This window comes from Homo sapiens, chromosome 12 (genome assembly GCF_000001405.40).
Source record: "Homo sapiens chromosome 12, GRCh38.p14 Primary Assembly".
NCBI classification, from domain to species: Eukaryota; Metazoa; Chordata; class Mammalia; order Primates; family Hominidae; genus Homo; species Homo sapiens.
Genome location: NC_000012.12, coordinates 107,484,763 through 107,507,459, shown reverse-complemented (window position 1 = coordinate 107,507,459; position 22,697 = coordinate 107,484,763). Strand labels below are relative to the sequence as shown.

At 45.6% G+C, this 22,697-nt stretch overlaps 1 protein-coding gene and 1 pseudogene across 6 annotated transcripts in view, besides 2 other annotated features; one reads left to right on the top strand and one right to left on the bottom strand.

Annotated features, from left to right (window-relative positions):
* ABTB3 (ankyrin repeat and BTB domain containing 3) overlaps positions 1-22,697 on the bottom strand; it is a 341,209-nt gene that overhangs the window by 152,183 nt on the left and 166,329 nt on the right. The window lies entirely within an intron of this gene.
* Positions 11,063-11,601: an enhancer, noted in NCBI's record as "NANOG hESC enhancer chr12:107889636-107890174 (GRCh37/hg19 assembly coordinates)". NCBI's record gives its function as "activates a minimal SCP1, AML or CMV promoter by ChIP-STARR-seq in naive H9 embryonic stem cells {active_cell/tissue: H9 hESC(naive)}" and the evidence as "EXISTENCE:reporter gene assay evidence [ECO:0000049][PMID:30033119]".
* Positions 14,778-14,867: an enhancer, noted in NCBI's record as "active region_6953". NCBI's record gives its function as "activates an Ori minimal core promoter by ATAC-STARR-seq in GM12878 lymphoblastoid cells {active_cell/tissue: GM12878}" and the evidence as "EXISTENCE:reporter gene assay evidence [ECO:0000049][PMID:35858748]".
* On the top strand, positions 20,825-20,949 carry RNA5SP371 (RNA, 5S ribosomal pseudogene 371; annotated as a pseudogene).

The window sequence follows — 22,697 nt, the reverse complement described above, 5'->3', positions numbered from 1 at the left end:
AATGGGAGGGATGACAGAGGCAGAGAACGGCACTTTCTGCTCGGGCTGCCAGCAAACCCAGACCAGTGCATCGCCCCATATCATTCCTGGCCTCTCAGATCTCCTGGACTCAGAATGCTGCCTGTGGATCTCTTCTGGCTTGGCAGACATCTCAAACTTGACTTCTCCTGCTTCCCTGGACTCTCAACACCCACTTGTTTCTTCCTTATCTCTGCCTGTGCCTCTAGAGCTCAACCAGCCCCTTAGGGGTGGCTGACCAGGACTCTTGGCTGTATCCTCCTTGCCCCTCAGCACTCTCCTGAGGGCTTCCATCCCAGACTGACCCTCTGATTCCCTATCAACATGTTGAGATAATGTGGTGCATCAGAAGTTGGCCTCTTTACACCCTCTCTTCACTGCCATCTTGAACATTCATTTTAAACATGTAAGCTATTTTCAAAATATGAATCACAAAATTATCCATGCCTGTTTTTAAAACTTCAATAATAAGAAAGAGATAAAACAATAAACTGAAAGCAACCTCTTTTCCTCTCCTTGGACCTAATCCCACTCTCCAGAGGTAACCCCTATTATTAGTTTCTTGTGTAAGATTCCAGAACTTTCTATGTATTCTCATGCATCAATTCATTCACTCACTCAACAAATATTTATTAAGTCCAAACAATGTGCAGGTTCTACAGGGGATAAAGGTATGAGAAAAACACCATACAAGCCCTAAACTCATAGAGCTTAAAGTCTAGCTGGGAGGACAAACACACATCAAATAATCCCACAAAGAAATGTACAAACACAACTGTGTAAACTGCCTTGAGAAAAGTACCTGTACATACACCATTCCCTGACCAATGTCAAAGCTGGAAAATGGTATCTAATTTAATTTGATTTCATGTAACTGTAAGAAAGACCTTTTTTTTTTCATGGTTATTAACATCTGTTTTCCTTTGTGAGTGGCTTTTGTATATCATTTGCCTAGTTTTCTATAGAAATATCAAATTCTTCTTACTGGTTTGTGGAAGTTCTTTCTATATTAAGGAAATAATCCCTTTGCCTGACATGTGTCATGCACACATGTTTTCCCAGTTTTTCAACTGCCTTTTGAGTGTGCTTACAGTATTTTTTTAAGTAGAAGTATTTTCATCCAATGCAGGCAAAGTTATTGGTCTTTCTCTTTATGGGTTCTGAGTTTGGGTTTACATTCAGAAAGCCCTCCACCTATTCAAGATTATTAAAAACTTAACCATGTTTTCTTCTGGTAATTTTAGTTACATTTTTACTATTAAAACTTTGGGTTGCAGAATGCATATACACTATTGGTGGGAATGTAAATTAGTTCAATCATTGTGGAAGACAGTATGGCGATTTCTCAAAGACCTAAAAACAGAAATACCATTCAACTCAGCAATCCCATTACTAGGTATACCCAAACGAATAGAAATCACTCTATTATAAAGACACATGCATGCATATGTCCACTGCAGCACTATTCACAATAGCAAAGACATGGAATCAACCTAAATGCCCATCAGTGGTAGACTGGATAAAGAAAATGTAGTACATATATGCACCATGGAATACTATGCAGCCATAAAAAAGAATGAGATCATGTCCTTTGCAGGAACATGGATGGAGCTGGAGGCCATTATCCTTAACTAACACAGAAACAGAAAATTAAATGCTGCATTTTCTCACTTTATAAGTGGGAGCTAAGTGATGAGAACACATGGACACATAGAGGGGAACAAAACACATTGGGACCTATTGGAGAGTGGACGGTGGGAGGAAGGAGAGGCTCAGGAAAAAGAACTAATGAATACTAGGCTTAATACCTGGATGACAAAATAATCTGTACTACAACCCCCACTTAAAAAAAAAAAAACCTTTGATCTGTCTAGCATGAGGTAGGGATCCAGTTTTTGTTTTTGTTTTCCCCAAGTAACTAACCAATCGAGCCAATATTTGCTGAATAATCCACCTTTTCCTCACTGATTTAAAATAATTCCACTTCATCATGTGTGCTCATCTCCAGATGTCGTTGAGAACACAGCAATATCTCCTATTTTATCCCACTGATCTAGTTTTTCTCGGTGTCAGAATCACACTGCTTAATTATTGTAGTTTCATAAATGCTTTAAAATTAGGTAGGGCTGGTCCTGATTCATTACGTCTCCTTTCTGAAAGATATTTCGAGGCTATTTTTTTAGCTACTTATTTCCCAGATTAATTTTAATTCTGATTCATTAAGTACCTGACTGTGGTTCAAATGGTGAAGGTAGTCACATTAGAAAGGGAAGAGGAAGGTGATGGGCAGTTAGGGGTGAATGGAGGTATACATCCATTTAAGAAAACTTTTGGATTCACTATTTGAGTATGCATTATGTTCCCTGAAATAAATGTAGCTGTGCCTCTTCCTGTTACCAGCTCTCCACTTCTGTGTCTCACTGACACTTGTTTAATAAACACAAGTTGAGTTAATGAATGAGTCCTGGGTAGAGTTCATGGTAAAAAATAAAGATTACTAAGTGTTAAAGAAAGGTGTTAATAGCAAGTGAGCACCCCACTGAGGATTTCTCCCTGTTATAGAAATCAAAGGGGGCTGGAAGAAATGGAGAGACTTCACACCAGCTGTCAGAAGCATTTTATGCCAAGGACAAACATTCACATTTGTCCTGTCCCAGGGATGTCTCAAAACCATTTCCAGGTAATAGCAAGGATACCCTCTATAGTGGAGACTGGTGTATCTGGCACGCTTCCAACTGAAAATCCCTTTCCAATGGAACTTCTGCAGAGTACCAGGATCATTTATATTCATAATGAAAGTCCCTAGGGCCTGGAAGATCCTGAGTCACCCAAGAAAGGAAAGATTAAATCATGTTCAACCAAGCCTTCGTGTTAAGTATATTTAATTGTATTCTAAGTCTTCAAAGACTGATTATCTTTAATTAAACAGCCTGGTGACTATAGACTTATTATTTATTTGATATGATATAGTGAGGAACTATTCACTAGAATGTTTAATAAGTTGAAATATCCTGTGGCTGACCACACGCAATGACAGAGAGGGGTGTGTGTGTGTGTGTGTTTACGGGCATGGAGGAGATTAGGCCATGTTTTTGAGAGCTGACTAAATGCTGCTGTTAACGTAGTGTAGATGTTAATGGCACGTAAAAGCATAAATCTACCATTTGCAGCCATGCATGTGCACACTGATATAAAGAACTAATAGGCCTTCCACAATCCATCAAAAATACAAAGATTACTAAATTGTCTTTTAAAAACATTAGAATCCCATTAGGCCAAATTCAGGAGCTGATTACAGAGTAAAATAAACCACAGGAGGACTCTAAATTCTCGTTTGTCATTGCTGTTAAAAGGTACTGCACCTTTTTCCCAAGGCCAGGAGCCCTTGGGGAAGGGAGCACACAGCCCTTGCTGGGGAAGCAGGGCCCTATCCAGCCAAGGAGAAAGATAAGGATGCTTCTGGAGAGAGGCTTTCTCCTAGCACCTGTTCTGGGAGTTGCATCAAAAACTACATGAAAGTAGCCCAGATATAACTCAATGTTTCTCAACTTTTTATTATCACCCCTTCCACCCCAAGAAGCCTTTTTGGACATTTTCTTCCCTCCTCTCCACCGCCACCCCACTGTATTAACCAGTTCTCTTTTTCTCTTTCTTCTTCTTCTTCTTCTTTTTTTTTTTTTTTTTTGAGATAGGGTCTTGCTCTATCACCCAGGCTGGAGGGCAGTGGCGCAATCACAGCTCAGTGCAGCCTCGACCTCCTGGGCTCAAGTGAGCCTCCCACCTCAGCCTCCTGAGTAGCTGGGACTGAAGGCGTGAACCACCACACCTGGCTAATGTTTGATTTTTTGTATAGACGGGGTCTCATCATGTTGTCCAGGCTGTTCTCAAACTCCTGGATTCTCCCACCTCGGCCCCCCAAAATGCTGGGATTACAGGTGTGAGCCACCTCGACTGGCCTTATCCATGCCTTTTATTGTCTGTATTCTGATGCTTTGACACCTGGGGCCTTGCTGACCCTGGAGGGCAGTCCCCAGGGTTGGCCCCACTCAAGGTTAGCCAATTCCTAGGGACAGTAAACAACCTGCCAGCAAGCACACTTTTCAAATGTAAACTGACCCATCCAAAGCCCACACCCCAGCCACCATGTCTATGGGGCTGTCATACTCTGGGCCACTATCCAACTGCTCTAATCTCTCCAGGGCCAGGCACCAGGCAACTAGGGGCAGTCCCTATGCCTCAGAGCCTGCTGAAATTATTCTAATTAGCTAATCCTAAACCTGGATTCTCTGCCTCACCCGTTCCTTCCCTCGGAAACGATAATAAAGGCTCTTGCCCATGGTTTCCTTCTGCCCCCTGACCAACCCTGGTGCTTCCCCATGTGACCCTATAAGGCCTGGCATGTCCCCTCCTCTTGGGAACTGTAAGTAACAAACTCTTTTCAATGGTAATTGTCTCCTGATCCATTGGCCTTACTGTACTTCAAATTTTCTGTCAAGACACTATAATTTAAAATAGCGGTCCCCAGCCTTTTTAGCAACAGGGACCGGTTTTGTGGAAGACAGTTTTTCTACTGACTGGTGGGTCGTGGGGCCAGGGATGGTTTTAGGATGAAACTGTTCCACCTCAAATCATCAGGCATTAGATTCTCATAAGGATCATACAAGCTAGATCCCTCGCGTGCACACTTCCTAGTAGGGTTTGTACCCCTATGAGAATCTAATGCTGCCACTGATCGGACAGGAGGCGGCACTCAGGTGGTAATGCTCGCTCGCCCGCTGCTCACCTTCTCCTGTGTGGCTCAGTTCCTAACAGGCCACAGACCTGTACCAGTCTGTGGGCTGGGGTTTGGGGACCCCGATTTAAAACATTCCACTTCATGACATTTTAATATTATAAATACACTGTATATATGTTTATGTACTGTGGCCGTTTTGAGGGTCACAAATCATTCTAATACCCACATTTTGTGGGGGTCTTAAGAACCATCTTTCACGCTGGTGGTGCTATATTGCCTCAGATCCCATTAAGGATGCATGAGAATAACGTGGGGAGTTTTAAAAAGTACCAATGCTGGCTGGGCACGGTGGCTCACACCTTTAATCTTAGCATGTTGGGAGGCTGAGGTAGGCAGATCACTTTAGGTCAGGAGTTTGAGACCAGCCTGGCCAACATGATGAAACCCCATCTCTACTAAAAAAAATATACAAAAATTAGCCAGGCAAGGCGGCATGCACCTGTAATCCCAGCTGCTCCAGAGTCCGAGGCACAAGAATCGCTTGAACCCAGGAGGCAGAGGTTGCAGTGAGCTGAGATCGTGCCACTGCACTCCAGCCTGGGTGACAGAGCAAGACTCTATCTCAAAAAAAAAAAAAAAGTACCAATGCCCAGTCCCACCCCAGACCAATTAAGTGAAAATTTCTGGGGACATCACCCAGGCAGTGGCATTTTTTCAATGATCTCCATGGTAATTCCAATGTACCTCCAGGTTGAGAACCTCTGAGTTGACTCAAATCACAGTTTCTGCCCCATCGCTTCCCCTCACCAAGCCTGACCCCAACACATCACATTCGCATTACAGACCAGAAAAACCACAAGACAAAACCAAATGATTCAGGGCTCCGTGGTGTTTCCCCACCTATGGACGCTCTATCTCATTTGATCCCAGACATGTGCCTGGACATTTTTTTTTCCAGAACAGGCAAACTCACACTTGAACAGGCTGTCTTTCTTTTTTTTGTTTTTGAGATGGAGTCTCACTCTGTCACCCAGGCTGAGGTGCAGTGACGTGATCTCAGCTCACTACAATCTCTGCCTCCCGGGTTCAAGTGATTCTCCCACTTCAGCCTCCCAAGTAGCTGGGACTACAGGCACATGTCACCACACTGGGCTAATTTTTGTATTTTTTTGTAGAGATGGAGTTTCACTATGTTGGCCAGGCAGGTCTCGAACTCCTGCCTCAAGCAATCCACTCACCTTGGCCTCCCAAAGTGCTGGGATTACAAATGTGAGCCACCGCGCCCAGCCATCCTCCCTTGTTTTCTTGTTTTTTTTTTTTACTGGGAGCATCTCTACCTGTTCTTCAAGGCACAACTTGAATGCCACTTCCTCCAACAAGCTGCCCCAAATGGTTGGGATCCCTACCTCTTCTCCCACAGCAGGTTGTCTTACGGAATGTCCACATCCATCCAGGGTTGCAGCAAGATAATAATAATACTGATGAAAACCAGAGTTAAGACTTTATATGGCATTTACTATGAGCCAAGCACTATTCAATGTTAATGCTTTACATGCATTAACCATTCTAATCCTTACAACATCCCTCTGCAGTTGCTGTTATTATTATTATTGTTGCTGTTATTTGTTATCATTTTACAGATGATGAAACTGAGGCACAGAGAGGTTAGGTTACTTTCCCAAGGTCACAGAGCCGGCAATAGGTAGAGCTAGGACTAGAACCTAGTCTGTTTGGCTTCAGAATTTGCGCTGCAGAGAAAGGCGGGGGCCAAGTCAGGAAAGGTCTCATAAGGCATGTTAAAAAGTCTAGATTTTATTCTAAGATTAATGAAGAGCCACTTAAAGGCTCTAACAGAGGCAAGAGAAATAATCTGGGCACAGAGTGAACAAGGCTGGGCTGCAGTCTTCCGGGTGACAAAAGACTGTAGCCAGGCCGGGTGGGAGCACAGCTTCTCGGAGTGGGGTCTGCTTGTTGCCTGCAGTAGAATCATTCTTGGGTGCTTGTTTTTAAAAAAAGGTGGATTCTCATGTGCAGCCATGAGATGGAAGACCCCTGGTTTACACAGTCGTGGCCTGAGCAGGGCAGGGAGGAAACTCTGGTAGAAGGCAGGGGTTGAGAGTGGGGGGTAACCGGCTCAGAGCCTTTAGTGACTTGTCCAAGGTCACACTGCTGATACACGTGTCAGCTAGGGCTTGAACAGACTTTGTAACCCAAGTGAGGCGCTGCACTAATCATGACCAGCAGTCAAACTAATGGAGAGACTGCTCAGGAGAGAATCAAAGGGCAGCAGCCTATCTTGGTTGCCTGGAAGCACCCTCGAGACTAGATGGTTGAAAACAGATGAGGGCAACCTGGGGGTGGGCATGGGGAAGCACAATCCAGACAACGAAGAGGTCATGGGGGGCCAGGGAGAGGGCAGCAGGGTGCTTGCCACCCCAGTCCTGGGGAGCGGGCGCAGGCTCTTCCCTCACCAGTGGTCACTCTTAGCAGAGGAGCCAGGCCTCAGCGCAGCAGGATCCACAACAAATAAATAGAGCTTGTCCTACCAGGGTGATATGGTTTGGCTCCGTGTCCCCAACAAATCTCATCTCAAATTGTAATCGCCGCATGTCAGGGGAGGGACCTGGTGGGAGGTGATTTCCTCCATGGCTGTTTCTCCCATGCTGTTCTCATGAGAGTGGGATAGCTCTCATGAAATCTGATGGTTTAAAAGTGTTTGGCAGCCAGGCCCAGTGGCTCATGTCTGTAATCCCAGCACTTTGGGAGGACAAGGCAGGTAGATCACTTGAGGACAGGAGTTCAAGACCAGTCTGGCCAACATAGGGAAACCCTGTCTCTACTAAAAATATAAAAATTAGCTGGGAATGGTGGTGCGTGCCCGTAGTCCCAGCTACTTGGGTGGCTGAGGCAGGAGAATCGCTTGAACCTGGGAGGTAGAGGTTGTAGTGAGCCAAGATCATGCCACTGCACTCCAGCCTGGGTGACAGAGTGAGATTCTATCTTAAAAAAAAAAAAAGAAAAGAAAAAGTGTCTGGCAGTCCCCCTGCCCCCTCTTGCCGCCATATGAAGAAGGCCTTCACCTTCCAGCATGATTGTAAGTTTCCTGAGGCCTCCCCAGCCATGCAAAACTGTGAGTCAATTAAACAATGTTCTTCATAAATTACTCAGTCTTAGGTAGTTCTTTATAGCAGTGTGAAAACAGACGAATACACAGGGCAAATTCGTGAGTTAATTTATTAGAGAGCCTTTGTTCAGGGAGCTCCAGTTGCTGGTTAGGTGAGAATTTTTACAATCTGAAGTTTGCACACAGGCACACACCACACGCACACACACACACACACACAGCTTCCCTCTTTGTGTGTCTCTCTGTGTGTGTAATCAAATGCCTTCTAGTACGCAGCACTGTGCTACCGAGAAAAATGACACACTTTTTGCCCAGGGTCATTTCTTCACAGATGTAATTACCCATTTTGAAAGTTTGTACTGTGTTATTTAGAACCAGTAAGTCATGAAATCACAGGACTTGAATGCTGGGAAGCCTTGGACAATGCTAAATCCAGCTCCCCCGAGTCAGCCACTAACATTTCCTGAGTGCCTACTGTGTGCCAAGACCTGGGCATGAGAGGGCAATGGTCCCTCCTTCCAAGAGTTTACAGCTAAACTTTTATCATAGAGTTGAGAAAAAGACCCAGAAAGGCTAAGTCACTCTCCTAAGGTCACACTGACTTGGTTTAACTCAATTTCTGGATAATGGCTACTTCCAGCCACTTTCAGAAATGATTTACCAATTTTGAAAGAATCAGAATATAGTACTATGTTCCTAACATGGCATGGTCAGCATTATAATGGTCCCCAAAGATGTCCATGTCCTAGTCCCCAGAACCTTTGAATATGCTATGTTACATGGCAAGAGAGAGTCAAGGTAGTGGGTGGAATTAAGACTGCTAATCATCTGACATTGGGATACAGAGAGTATCCTGGGTTTTCTAGGTGGGCCCAATGTTATCACAAGGGTCCTTTAAACCTGGAAGAGGGAGGTGGGGGATTCAGTGTCAGAGTGATGCCATGAGAACAAGACCTAATTGACCGTTGTGGGCTTTAAAGACGATGGGTCCATGAGCCAAGGAATGTGGGTGGCCTCTAGAAGCTGGAAAAGGCATGGAAATGGATTCTAATTTTAGCTCCATGAGACCCATTTTGGACTTCTGACCTACATCATTGTAAGAGAATAAATTTCTGTTGTCTTAGGACGCTAAGTTTGCAGTAGTGAGTTCTAGCAGTAGCCACAGAAAATGAATATCCTCTGAAATGAGACTGAGCTTCACGAGGCTCCTCAGGGTGCTGGGGGGCCTGATGGTGTCATTCTGAAATGAGCATCGCTTATCTTCCTAGAAGTCCAGACATCTAATTTCACTTTAAAACTCAGGATCTGTTTTCAGTCAAGACACCTTCCTCGGCCTTTGCCTTTTCTCCCCTCTGGGTAAATTCCAGAATTTAATGCAGAAATAAAGAGATGACCAAAGAATGCCATTTCTCCTAACTTTCTTCCTTGTAACTCCTCTCTGCATCTGAATCACTTTTTCTGGCATTTTATTTTCAGAAATGCTGTTGGCGTTCCTTCCTCTCAGCCCATTGAAGACATCACTTTGTGGGCCAGTGCTGCCCTCCACCCCAGGGTGCCTCACCACCTTCCATTTCTGTTTTTGTTCTGAGCCTGTCTTCTGCTTCCAGGATGTGCCTCAGACTCAATGCCCTCCTGACATGGGAAAAAAGGAGAGGGGCTTACACAGCAAGGTCAGGCTCCACGTCCTGACATGTGGAGGAGGGAAAAATCACTCCTTCCCAGTGAGGTCAGAGAGTTGAGGTGGGAATGAGTCAATGAGTCACTTCCAGGAGAAGGAAGGATGTGCCCACCATCTCAGGAGAAGAAGATGGGCAGAAAATGGCTTCTCTGGGGATTTAGAGAATAAGAACATCGATTTTCTGACACTGAAAAGCTGTCCCTCCCAGGACAGAGAATGATTGCGAGAAATGCCTCATCATCCATCATCCAACAGAATATTACTGAAAACCTTCTTAGTGTCAGGTTCTGTGCAGGTGATATAGATGATGATGATAATGGTGGTGGTGATGATGATGATGATGGTGGTGACGATGATGCTGTTGGTTGTGGGATGATGGTGGTGGGATGGTGTGGTGATGATGATGGTGGTGGGGGTGTCAGTGATGATGATGGTGGTAATAATTGTGATGATGGTGATGGTGGTGATGATGATAATGTTGATAATGGTGATGGTGGTGATGATGATGATGGTAGAGATGATGATGGTGGCGATGGTGATGATAACAGTGGTGTTGAGGATAGAGGTGGGGATGGTGATGGTGGTGATGGTGATGGTGGTGATAGTGATGGTGGTGGTGTTGAGGATAAAGTTGGGGATGGTGGTGGTGATGATAGTGATGGTGGTGGTGGTGAGCGTAGAGGTGGGGATGGTGATGGTGGTGATAGTGATGGTGGTGGTATTGAGGATAAAGTTGGGGATGGTGATGGTGGCGGTTGTGATGATGATGGTGGAGGTAACGATGATGGTAGGAGCTGACACCCACTATGTGCCAGGCACTGTTCAAAGTACTTGCCATATACTCACACAATGTATATCTCCAGGTGGTGGGCATGAAAAATGTGCTGAATTAATGAATAGAGATGACTTGATTCCTACTACCTTAAGTTCACACCTAGGGCTAGAGGGTAAGTGGAACAGAATGAAAGAAAGATGGGAGAGGGGAAATTGAAATAGAAACAATAATCACGGTACAATAAGACAGAGCAGTGGTTAGGTAGATGGGCTCTACAGCCAGGCTGCCCCAGTTTAAATACAAGCTTTGTTACTTATTGACTCTCTGGCTAAATTAATGAACCTCTCCGTGCCTCAGTTTCCTCTTCCGTAAAGTGGGGATGATAACAGCATCTACCTCATGGGTTGGGGTGAGGATTGTATGAGTTGGTATGTCTCCATATCTGAACAGTGCCTGACACGCAGTAGATGCTCAGTAACCCATGCTTCTTCGTCTTCTTCTAAGGTGCTTAGCAGAATTCATCTAAGCCACTCAGAGGCAGACTTGGTCACTTCAGGCTCCTGGCTTGGCTTAACCCCAGACAAGCTCTCAATGTTTTATCGGTCATCTTTGCTGCCTCCATTTATGCTACCATCCCGGACACCAAAATCCCTGATTCTAACCAAAACTGACTTTTCATTTTGCATCTTTATATCCCCTGCCCTCTCCCATGGAAAGAATTCCAAGGGAGATTTAATCAAACAGGTGACATGAAAGCCGAGACTTCAGGAATGTGTAATTTTTAAAGGGGGGATTAATAATGAAGGAAGAAGGAGCTGGTCTGGTTTGAGGGAGAAAGTGGGGCAGAGGGATGCACACCTGGTGGGAGTGCTGGGAGACAGGGTGTACCTGGAGATAAGGCAGGAGTTAGAGGTGAGATGCAGGCAGCGCTAGAATAGGAAAAACCTTGACCGCTGCATTCATGAATGGGGAGCCATTAAAGTCTTGAAAGCTTTCTAAACCCAACATTGTTATGCACACGCTGGAGGGCAGTGCTTATCCTAGCAGTGGTATTAGTACGGCACAAATGATAGCGATAGTAATAATGGCACTAACAGTCATGGGGCAATAATAGTAGTAACAGCAACAGTGGCAGAATTGAGGGGACTGAGACATCATCATCACCATCTTCATCATTCTACAGTTAACTTTCATTTAGTACTTACTATGTGCCATTCTAAATACTTTAATATCTTATGTCATGTAATCCTCGCAATAACCCTATGACCCTATGGGGTAGTTACTCTTATCATACCCATTTTACAGACAAGAAAACAGAGGCAGGGAAGAGTTATGTGACCTGGGCAAAGCTGCACTGAGACCCAGGGCTTGGGTGCTTATGTTAGGCACAATGAGAAGCTGCCAGGAACGAGGTGGACCTCACCATACCCCAAGAGGCAATACCAGCTGTAGATACAGAAGGGCTTCCCTGAAGTTCAGGGGGTATTCATGGAGGGCAGGCCCTGAGAGGTGTTTGTGGGGTTTGGCTGTGACTTGGAGGTGGGCATGGAAGGAGGCAGCCAGTCCTAGCCTCTCTGATGCCCTTCTGGCCCCCGTTAGGGATGGAGTCCCAGGATGGCTATACTGGTTCTAATCATACCCAATCCAGGGACTATGAACAGCACACAGTGGCAGCTAGGAGCCCCCTCTGCAGGCCTCCCTCCAGCTGGGACTGGCCTGCCGGGCCATCCCCGCTGGGGCTTGGGGGACAATCTGGCCCAAGCCCCACTGCTGCCTGCCTCAAGTCTGTTCTGCCTGCAGAGCACACGAACGCGGGAACACCAGAGCGTGGCTGAGCCCGTGCAGGTAGGCCTGGCTTCCCCCAACAGGCTGGACACTGGCTAAGTGGCCTGGCAGGAGACGATGCTAAGGCCAAATGTAACGACTCCAGCTGCAAGTCATGTCTTTTTTCCACTCCCCATTCCCCACTACCAAGGGAGAGGGCATGGCGTTCCTGAGGATACTGTTGGGGTGGATGAGCCTCAGTCTATAAGCACCGGAGAGGACTCCTTGGGCGCTGGGCGTCCTGGCCACCCCCTACCTTCCCCTGGTTGCTGAGAAGCAACAGCCACTTCTCCCTATACCTGCATTTCCCTGGCTCTCTTAGTGACAGCTCACCTGCATCCCCCACAGTCCCGTGGTAGGAGACAGAGTTTAAAAGGCCTGTTTTGCAGGCTCCAGGGGGACTGCAATGCCATCTTGCCGTGCTTTGATTAAGAATGATCCTCGGGGCCCTGTGGTAAGAGGATGAACTCCCCTAACTGTGGAAACAGGGGAGGGAGAACAGGCGGCTGCAGCGCAGAGCCCTCAGTAGGAAGGGGAGGTGCCACCTGGGGAAGCTGCTGAAGCCCAAGGGAGGTGGCGAGGGCTGTGGAAGGCCTGTTGGGAATAATCTGGTATTCCAGAGCAGTGGAGGAGATGCCCAGGCTCCGAAAGCTCCCTGAAGAAGAATATTAAAGAGAGCCAGAGGCAGGGTTGCTTAGGCTCTTACAGAAACTCCCGTGACCTTTTGGCTCCTGGCACCTGTGAGGCTAAGTCTTATCTCTGGGCCATTTGGCTCCCTGGCCATACCCGGTCTAGGCTGGGAGAGGCCTTCTACCCTGGGCCATGTGCAAAACAGCCCTGGCCTTTGGTCAGCTCATGAAGGGAGTCCCTTTGATTCCTGACCAGCTCCTACCTCCTTATTCCTGCCTTCCCAGATCCCTGACCAGCAGACTCAGCCCAGGATCATCTGGGAAGGTCCCGGCTCTTCTGTCAGAGCCCCTTTTACCGTGGGTGGGGTGAGGGACTCAGCAGGCTCATTTCATAGGCCCAGATCCTAGCTTGCCAACTGCTGACCTGGGAGCCCCACAGTGCTTCTCAGATCTCCTTGACTTCCAACCAAGACTCAGGATCCAATGCTCATATGAATTCTTCACTCTCCATGAGCCTGGAAAGCTGAGCAAAGCTGGGCTCTTACCCACGTTCTTTTCTCACTTGCCGTCTCTGAGCTCAATTCCTATTTTTGTAAAGTGAGTATCCTAATACCTCCCTGTGTAGTGCTGTTAGGTCTAAGAAGGTAATATACTGCATTAGCTTCCAAGCACTGTCATAACAAAGTTCTACACTTACTGGCTTAAACAACAGACATTTCTTGTCTCCTAGTTCTGGAAGCTAGACACCACACTCAAGGTGTTGCAGAGTTGGCTCCTCCTAGGGACTGTGAGAAGGAATCTGCTCCAGGCTTCTCTGCCAGCTCCTAGGGTTTTGCTGGCAATGCTTCGCATTTCCTGGTTGTATTGTAGAAGCATCCTCCTCATCTCCGCCTTCATGTTCATGGTGTTCTTAAGTGTGTGTCAGTGTCCAAATTTCACCTTTTTCATGAGGACATCAGTTGGATTAGGAGCCCACACTATCCAGGATGACCTCATCTTCACTAGTTCCATCCACTATGAACCTAGCTCCAAACAAGGTCACTTTCTCAGGTACTGGGGGTTAGGACCTCACCATATGAATTTTGGCAGGTACACAATTCAAACAATAGCACCTACATAAAGATACCAAGCACAAAATGGGTCCTCAAGAAATGCCAGGCCCTTTTCTTTCCCGTGAAAGAGGGGCCGGCCTCTGAGGCTGAGAGAAGGTTCTAACACATGGGGCTGCTTTTTGGATAGATGCAAGCTCCGTTTGCTGGGAAAACGTTGCCTGCAAGTGCTGTCAGAGGGTCTGTCTTCATGCCTGGGCCTGATTTGCACAGAAGGTATGCCCTGCCCCAGAGAGCACCTCCACATTGCACATCAAGGCTGTCCTCTGCTCTCCTCTGGCCCATGACAGTGAAGGGACAGGGACAGAGCTTGCTTGGCAGAAAGAGACTTACCTACTCTTGGTTTTTCTTGCCCATGCTTCCCTGCAAGGACCCTGAGTGGGGAGGCCCCCCAGTGCTCCCTCGGTCCCCAGGTGATGCCTTTGGGCTTTCACTTACTCTTCTCCCCTCTATTTTCTATCAAGGAAGAGACTTTTTTTTTTTTTCTTTTCTCTGTGGCTTGGCCCTGGGGAAGCTTCGTTCTGCTCTTTTGCCCCGGAGGTTAATGTGCTTCCTGTTTTCCTAGTGTCATTCTGGTCCTAACAGCAGCACCAATACCTACTAAACACTGAGGCTGGTGGCACTGCTAGTACAAAGTTCTTCCCTGCCCTCAGCTCACCCAGCACCAGAAGCTGCAGGGCAAGGCAGTTTATCTCTGGGAAGGCAAGTGGCTGCTCAAGGGCACAAAGCTCATAAACAGGCAGACAAGTGGCACTAGGTTTTTCCCTGTGGCTGTCCCCTAAACATGCTGGCTTTCACTGAGACACTGTTTTTTTGTTTTTTCTGGTTGGGTTAAATGTGGTTGATTTGGCCTCCTCTGGAAGGACAGGGCAGACCTCCCACAGCGGCCGTTAACTCATTCTGCAGGGGAGACAGAAGTGTCTATGAAGGAGGCTACAGAGATGACAAGGAGGTGAAGGGGACACAGAAGCAGAAGTGGGAGGGACTGGGGGTGTGGCCAAAGTGACTATAGGATTGTGGGAAAAGTGCCCTTGCCACTGGCATTATGAGAAGCCTGTGAGTATGGCAGGAAAGGTGCTAGCTTTGGAGCCCAGAAATGCCAAGTGCACATCCTGCTATCTTCTCTGCCTTCCCGAGGGGTCTTGGGCAAGAACGCAGGTCTCTCTGATCTACCTGCGAGATGGAGAGAGGAACAGTGCCTAGCACAGAGGGGTGTGGCAAGCGCCTGGGGAGCAGCATCACCCCCAATTTTTCAGATGTGAAAATGGTCAAGACATTATCATTATTAGGGGGTTCCAGTCAGTGGAGGTGAACACGAAGCCTGACAGGCCCGGGACCGGGTGGGCGGGAATTCCTTCCACTCTCAGATATCTAAGTTCTCATCCAAGGTCACTGGGCTTCAGAAACACCATTCTATAAAGTCTCCTCAGAGGAAGCGAATCAGCGTGAGGCTGCAGTTTCTTCATCTCCCTCTCCCACGACTTCACCCTGCATTCTTCAGCCAATCAACACGATCTCCACACTTTAGCTCACTCCAAAACCCTTAAAAGCCCTAGCCATCTCCTGGGGAGATGGACTAGAGGTTTCCTCTCCTCTCCTTGCTCAGCAGCCCTCTGACTAAACCTCTTTCTCTACAGAAAAAAAGTCCCAGACAATCACTCCCTTTTATAATCTTCTCCTCAAACTTCCTGGATCCCAACAGGCTGACGCCTGGGTTCAACCGGGTTTTTTTTTTTTTTTTTTTTGAGACAGAGTCTCACTCTGTTGCCCAGGCTGGAGTGCGGTGACGTGATCTCCGCTCACTGCAACCTCTGCCTACCAAGTTCAATCAAATTTTGTGCCTCAACCTCCTGGGTAGCTGCGACTACAGGCGCATGCCACCACGTCTAGTTAATTTTTGTGTTTTTAGTAGAGACAGGGTTTCATCATGTTGGCCAGGCTGGTCTCAAACTCCTGGCCTCCAGTGATCTGCCTATCTCGGACCCCCAAAGTGCTGGGATTACAGGCATGAGCCATCCAGTTCTTGAATGAAAATGGCTCATGGTTGTTAACCCGTCCTTCCTTCACACTGGACTGCTTTCTGCCAGGGCTAGCACTGAATTTCCTTCCTTTGCAGCCCCAGTTTTTAGCACAAGGCCTGGTATGAAGGGAAGGGCTGGCTATGTCTGTTGAATAAATAAATGAATGACTTCCCAGTGAAAGAATGAATGCGTTTAAAAGGAAATGACACACTTCTGGTACCATGTTCCCTCTTATCTACTGATGGTGTGAGCAGGCCTGGGGAACAGGGTGTGAAGGCTGGGCATGTGGGGACTGCTATCACAGCAACAGGACAACTGAGGTGCCAAGGCTCAGGGCGAAGGAGCCATTCACTTGGCTGATGGAAGAACAGATGAACAGATGAATGAATGGATCTTGGAGAGCTGGTCTCTGTATCCTTGGTCTTGGAGACAGGCTGATTCCTCAGCCACAGAGGCCCACCTACTCAGATGTATAGTCATTATTATGCACACCATGACTCCTGGGAAGGTGTGGCCCCCATATGGCTTTGGAGTCTGGCAGATCTGAGTTCTAATCCCAGCTCTGCCCCTCATAAGCCCTTTGGTCCTAGCTAACAATTCAACCTCTCTGAGCCTCTTTTCTCATCTACGGAAGGGGCTCTCAATGGCTCAGGATGGTTGTGAAGACTGAATTAAGTGAGACAATCATTTAAAAGCTCTGAGCCAGGCCTGGAAGCACTGCATATGGCTAACACATCCAGCACCCTTTCTCATCTGATCCTCTGTTATAGATGGAGAAGCAAATTGCTCTGCCCCACTATGACTTGGTTACTCCTTCTGTGAAGCAAGACCAACACTACCTGCCTGGCCTCTGTCACAGGACTGCAGTAATGAGATGAAGAAAATAAAAATGCATTATACATTTAAATGCACCAGGAGACAGGGTTGTTTTTATTTTGCAGTTAACTCCTATGAACATTTGTTCCAGTCGGATTCCTAGGGGCATGAGAGAGAGCTTCCTGGGTTGGCTCTCACCTGGTAAATATCCACATCCCTCTCTCCCCACCACTATCATTTCTGATCCTACAGCCTAAGAAGTCCAGAGGCAGTACTATGCCACCATCTGTTTCAACTCCCCCAGTCCAGGTGGAATAATATTCTTATTAAAGTGCATAGAAGATGCCCTCTCCAATCCATTGCAGGGGATATTTCCAGTCACAATGATGGCAGTTGAGCTGTTGACCAGGACCAGATTGTCACCATCTGCTCCTTGCCCATGATATGTGCCCTGCTGACCGTAGGGACCAGGACTATGTGCAAGTGCAAACCCACAGTCTCCTCAAGCAGCCCCGCCTTCAGGAACCTGGGCGGTGGAGTGGAACTAAACAACAGCCAGTGCACATTCATTTGAATTGGGGGTTGCTCTCTCAGTCATGTCAAGGCACCTGGAGAAAGATATAATTAGTCTGTGGACAGAGATCCACCTATGAGTGGAGCTCACTTTTGTAATGGGCCTATTATTCCCTAATTGTTGCATAAAAATGTATTTTTTTTTCTAACTATATTTTAAATCCCTCAGGGCACCTCCCTATGTAAAGGAGTCTTGTAACACATCTTTATGTTTTTGTTTGTTTGTTTGTTTGTTTGGCCATGCATGGTGGCTCATGCCTGTAATCCCAACCACTTTGGGAGGCTGAGGGTCGCTTGAGCCCAGGAGTTCAAGGCTGCAGTGAGCCATAATGGTAACACTGCACTTCAGCCTGACTGACAGAGCAAGACCCTGTCTCTAAAAAAAACAAAAAAAGACAATGTTTAAAGTTTCATTTAGTAGAAGTGTCACATTTTATCAAACTATTCCATTCGTTGGGGACATTTAGGTTGCTTCCACTTTGGGACTATCATAAAAACACCTGAGGTCCATGGATATCAACACACACATGGCTTCTGTGAATTCTGTACTATTCTGATAGCTAGATCCCTGAAAATTGAAGCATGGGATCAGAGTAAGAATCGTTTTGTTTGTTTGTTTGTTTGTTTGTTTGTTTTTGTGAGATGGAGTTTTGCTCGTCACCCAGGCTGGAGAGCAATGGTGCAAACTTGGCTCACTGCAACCTCTGCCTCCCAGGTTCGAGTGATTCTCCTGCCTCAGCCTCCCAAGTATCTGGGATTACAGGCATGCACCACCACGCCCGGCTGGTTTTGTATTTTTAGTAGAGATGGGGTTTCACGATGTTGGTCAGGCTGGTTTCAAACTCCTGAGCTCAAGTGATCCGCCTGCCTTGGCCTCCCAAAGTCCTGGGATTACAGGTGTGAGCCACCGTGCCCAGCCAAGATTTGTTTTTTAAATGGCCTTTGACATATATTGCTATATTCGTTTTCTAAAGGTTGTGTCCACAATAACATACTTAAGTGCCAATCTTACCACACCTTCATCAGCACTATTATCAGTACGAATGTTTTTATTTTACAGGACTGCCAGAATCTTAAGCCAAATAACATGTGAAGAAAAGTATTAATATTAACAAGAGAGCTTGAGATGCCTTTGTACTCCTTTTTGGTCATCTTTGTGACTTCTTCCTTTCTTTCTCATAATTAAATTTCAATCAATTGCCAGTGCTGATGGTTGCTTCTTTCGTAAGTTCTCTTTTATGTTTCTTCAATTCCTGTAAATTCATCCTGACTCAGGCCTTCAACATCTACACACACTGTTCTAAATAGCATTCCAACGGTCTTTTTGAGCTTTTCTCTCCTCTTGGTTATCCTGCCCAATTCCTCTCTTCAGAACAAAGTTTTAGATGGTGGTGATGGTTGCACAATGATATGAATGTACCAAATGCCACTAAACTATACTTAAAAATTGTTAAAATGGTAAATTTTATAATATATAATATTTTATATATATATACATATAATTGCAATTTTTAAAAAGTTTTGATTGCTTCCTTGCTCAGAAATCTTCAATGGCTCCCTGTGCCTATCAGACAAAAGTTCAAAGTGTTTAGTGATGGCTTATGAGGTTCTATGCAATGTAACACAACGATAGTAATCATAGTTTATAATGAGCCAAGTATTGGGTTAAACACTTTACAAGCATTTCTTGGTCACTCCTTACACCTTTCCAATGAGGTAGATATTATTATTCTGCCATTCAGATAAAGAAATCTGGGCACACTTTTTTTTCTTTTGAAAGCAACTTTACTGAGATATAATTCATATAAAATAAAACATCCATTTAAAGTATACTGCTTGAAGAGTTTTGACAAATGAACAACTTTTATAACTATGACCCCAACTGAGTCACAGAACATTTCCACCACCCACCAGGCACGAAGAGATTTAGGTTGCCAGCTAATGGTATACAGCTAGCAAAGTGGATGGTTGAAAACTGAGCCCAGGTCTGACTCTGATACCCAGACTCTTGACTGCTCGGTACCCACTGAATCTGCTACCCAGTTTCTAGCTGTACCATCACAGCCATCCCTCCTTGAAGGTACTCTTGTACCTGAACCACAACTTCCACCCTCCCACCTGTGCACCTTTGTAAACACCGTTTCCCACACTGAGAGCCCACCCCTCCCCCATAGCTTTCATCTTATTTCCCCCAAAAGTCTTTCTGCCCTGACCCAGCCAACCTGAAAGCGGGCCCCCTTTCCTCTGAACACTGTCATGTCACCCTTGTTGCCAATGTCACCCCTTGGATGCTGCTCAAATACTCAGTTGATGGTGATCAAATGTCATTTGTATTTTGCTAACTTTTTTTCCAGTGTCCTTCCTTTCTAACGCATCAGTTGACTCCCAACGGTCTTTCTGGCAATGATTCTTTATGGTCCTTGTTTGTGTGTGCAAAAATATAGTTGGGGTCTTTGTCGATAAATAGGTTTCCTTGAAGATCAACCCTACTGGAGTAGAAGGAGGTAAAATTCCATTGGCTGATATATTTCCTGGTGCTGGCAGAATTTGTGCTGATTTACTCCTCCTTAAGTGGAATCATGGAAGCTTTTGAAAAGGCAGCCAAGTCACATTAAACACCAGTGAGTGTAGCAGGTAATGTCCTTTCCTTCCCCAAGGAACACCTCCTAGCCAAGGTAAATAGACTCTGGCACTGAGGTTTGGCTGACCTTTTCCTAGTGAGAGCCCAGCAGACAGAGACCTTGTGTCTCAGCAGCCAATACAGTGTAGAAAGGAACTAGACCTCCAACCCCGTAAGCTTAGAAAGAAGAAAGGGCACAGGTGAGCCAAAAATGGAGGGCTTCCTATTTTCAGAAAACTTCCTCCCTTCTTGACCCACTTGCTGAGCCCAACTTCTTTGAGGCAGGAACAGGGCTAGGCACTGAGGACCCAATGATGAACAGACGACTTCTCTGGTCTCTAAAAGCTCATGGTCAAGAAGGTGACCCCTTCTCTGTGTGTCTGAGCATCTCTATGCATTGGGCACTAGGGTGTGGGGAGAGGAAGGGTACCTCTGTTCTCAAGGAAAAACTGGGGACAGACATGGATTCTCTTAGAACACAATAGAATACATGCTGTGTAGTCTGTTTCCCATCTGTATAATGGGGATAATGACAGGGCCTATGGCAGCCAAATGGTGAATGGACTGCCAGACTACCTGGGTTCAAACCCCAGCTCACTTATTTACCAGCTGTGTGACTGTAAGAAAGTTATGTAATCTCTCTCTGCCTTGATCTCCTCATTTGTAAAATGATAATGATAAAAATACCTACCACTTAGGGTTGCTGTGATGGTTAAATTATTAATCTCTGTGACATGCTTAAAACAGTGTCTAGAATACTGTATTCTATGAACATCAGTGATTTTTTTTTTTTTTTTTTTTTGGCTATTAAGAGCCCCTTGGAGGTCCCGAGGAGGATGTGGTTAGCTTTGCCTTGGGCTTGGGTAGCTACTAGAAGGTCTCTCAGGAGAAAGAATACTCTAGTGTACAGCCATACCACCCTGAACATGCCCAATATTGTCTGATTTTGGAAGCTAAGCAGGGCTGGGCCTGATTAATACTTGGAAGGGAGAAAGAATACTCTAGTTAGGCCTTGTAGCTGCCTAGGAGTTTGCTAGACAGAATCGTGTGTCTGTGGTATTTGTGAAAAACAGCCAACTTTTTCTATAAAGGGCCAGATAATAAATATTTTCAGTTTTGTGGGCCATATACTCTTTGTAGCAACTACTCAATTCTGCTGGTGAATAGGTGTGGCTGTGTTCCAATAAAACTTTATTTACAGAAAAGGCACTCAGGCTAATGTTTGCCAACCTGTGAGTTAGAAGGTTAAGGGAACACAAATATAGGTTTATCACAGAACTAGGTCTGAACATGTCCCTCAAGATTAATGGGGCTCAAAGAAACTAATCTAGTCCCAAGACAGTAAGAACTCCCCTGCCCCTGCAGAAGGGCATTGGTTTATTCATGAGGGATCTGCCCCCATGACCCAAACACCTCCCACTAGTCCTCAGCTCCCAACACTGTCACACTGGGGACCAAATTTCACCATGAGTTTTCACCATCCAAACCACAGCACCAAATAATAAGGTCAAGCACATTATTGGGAATCCAAGAATCTTGTTTATCTTTATCTGTACAGCTCTCCTAACCAGTTTGTTTTGCTTGCACTAGACTCAGATATCTCTGCTCTCTACAGTTAATGTATTTCGTTAGCAGGAACTTGGAATCAGAAAAATCTTTGCCACTTCAGCATGACTGGGAGAAACATTTAAGAGAGTAAAATAGATATATGAAGTCATTTCTTTAGATGACCCTAAGACATTATTTTCTTTCACTAAAATAATTTCAACTACAGTTTGTTGCAATCTTAGAACATTGCTTTCAAAAGAGAAAGTTATGTTGTGTGTCAAGAGAACATAAAAAAGAAGAAATCAAAAAACAATGATCCCATTTATTGCCCTACAGGTATTATCTTTTTTGGTCTGGTAGAGTGGTTGATTTATTTACAAGGTTGGGGTTATTCATTTCAGAAGGTCAAGCCTTCTGCTATTTTCATTGCTTGAGCCTTCACTGTGTAAACACATACAGAGAGACACACACAAACAGACCCAGAGTCACAAAAAAAGCTTCCATCTCAAGAAGCAAAGGGCCAAGAGTCAGAAGAAGAAGGAATTAAAGTAAGAATATCTGCATGAGGTAGTACCCATGTGATTGTCACTTACAACCCAAACTGCCTAGGACACAGCAGGAACAAGGGAAGGATAGGGGTCCTGAGGTGCAGGCAGGGGTTCTCTTTTCTTAGCTCAGGAGGACAATGACAACTTTCACTGGTTAACAATTTTCCATTAGTTTTTTTAATCTCCTGAAAAACTGAGGAATCAACAAGACGGAGAGGAAAGAAGCAATGAATTTGGAATCATAGGGGTTGAGGTTTGAATTCTGTTTTGCCACATATGCATCCTGTGAGCTTTGGCCCATTATTTACCCCTAAAATGCTCAGTTTCTTCATCTCTAAAATGGGTAGATAATGTAATCTATCAGCTTATGGTTCTTACATGCATGGAAAGATAGAACATATGTGGAGGTCTCTTTCCTTCCATAGTCTCTCCATCTCAGTGGACATCTACTGGACATCATCACTTACTGTCCAATGGGCATTGCAGACATAGCACATCCCACACTGACCTGCTGATCTCTGCCCTGTCCCCAAACCTGTTCCTTTAACACCTTCTTCCTTCCAGGGCTCAGGCCAAAAACCCTGAAGTCAGCCTTTACATCCCACATCTAATCCATCAGCAAATCCTGTTGCCTCTTTCTCCAGAATAAGCGCAGAGCCCAACTGCTTCTCAATACCCA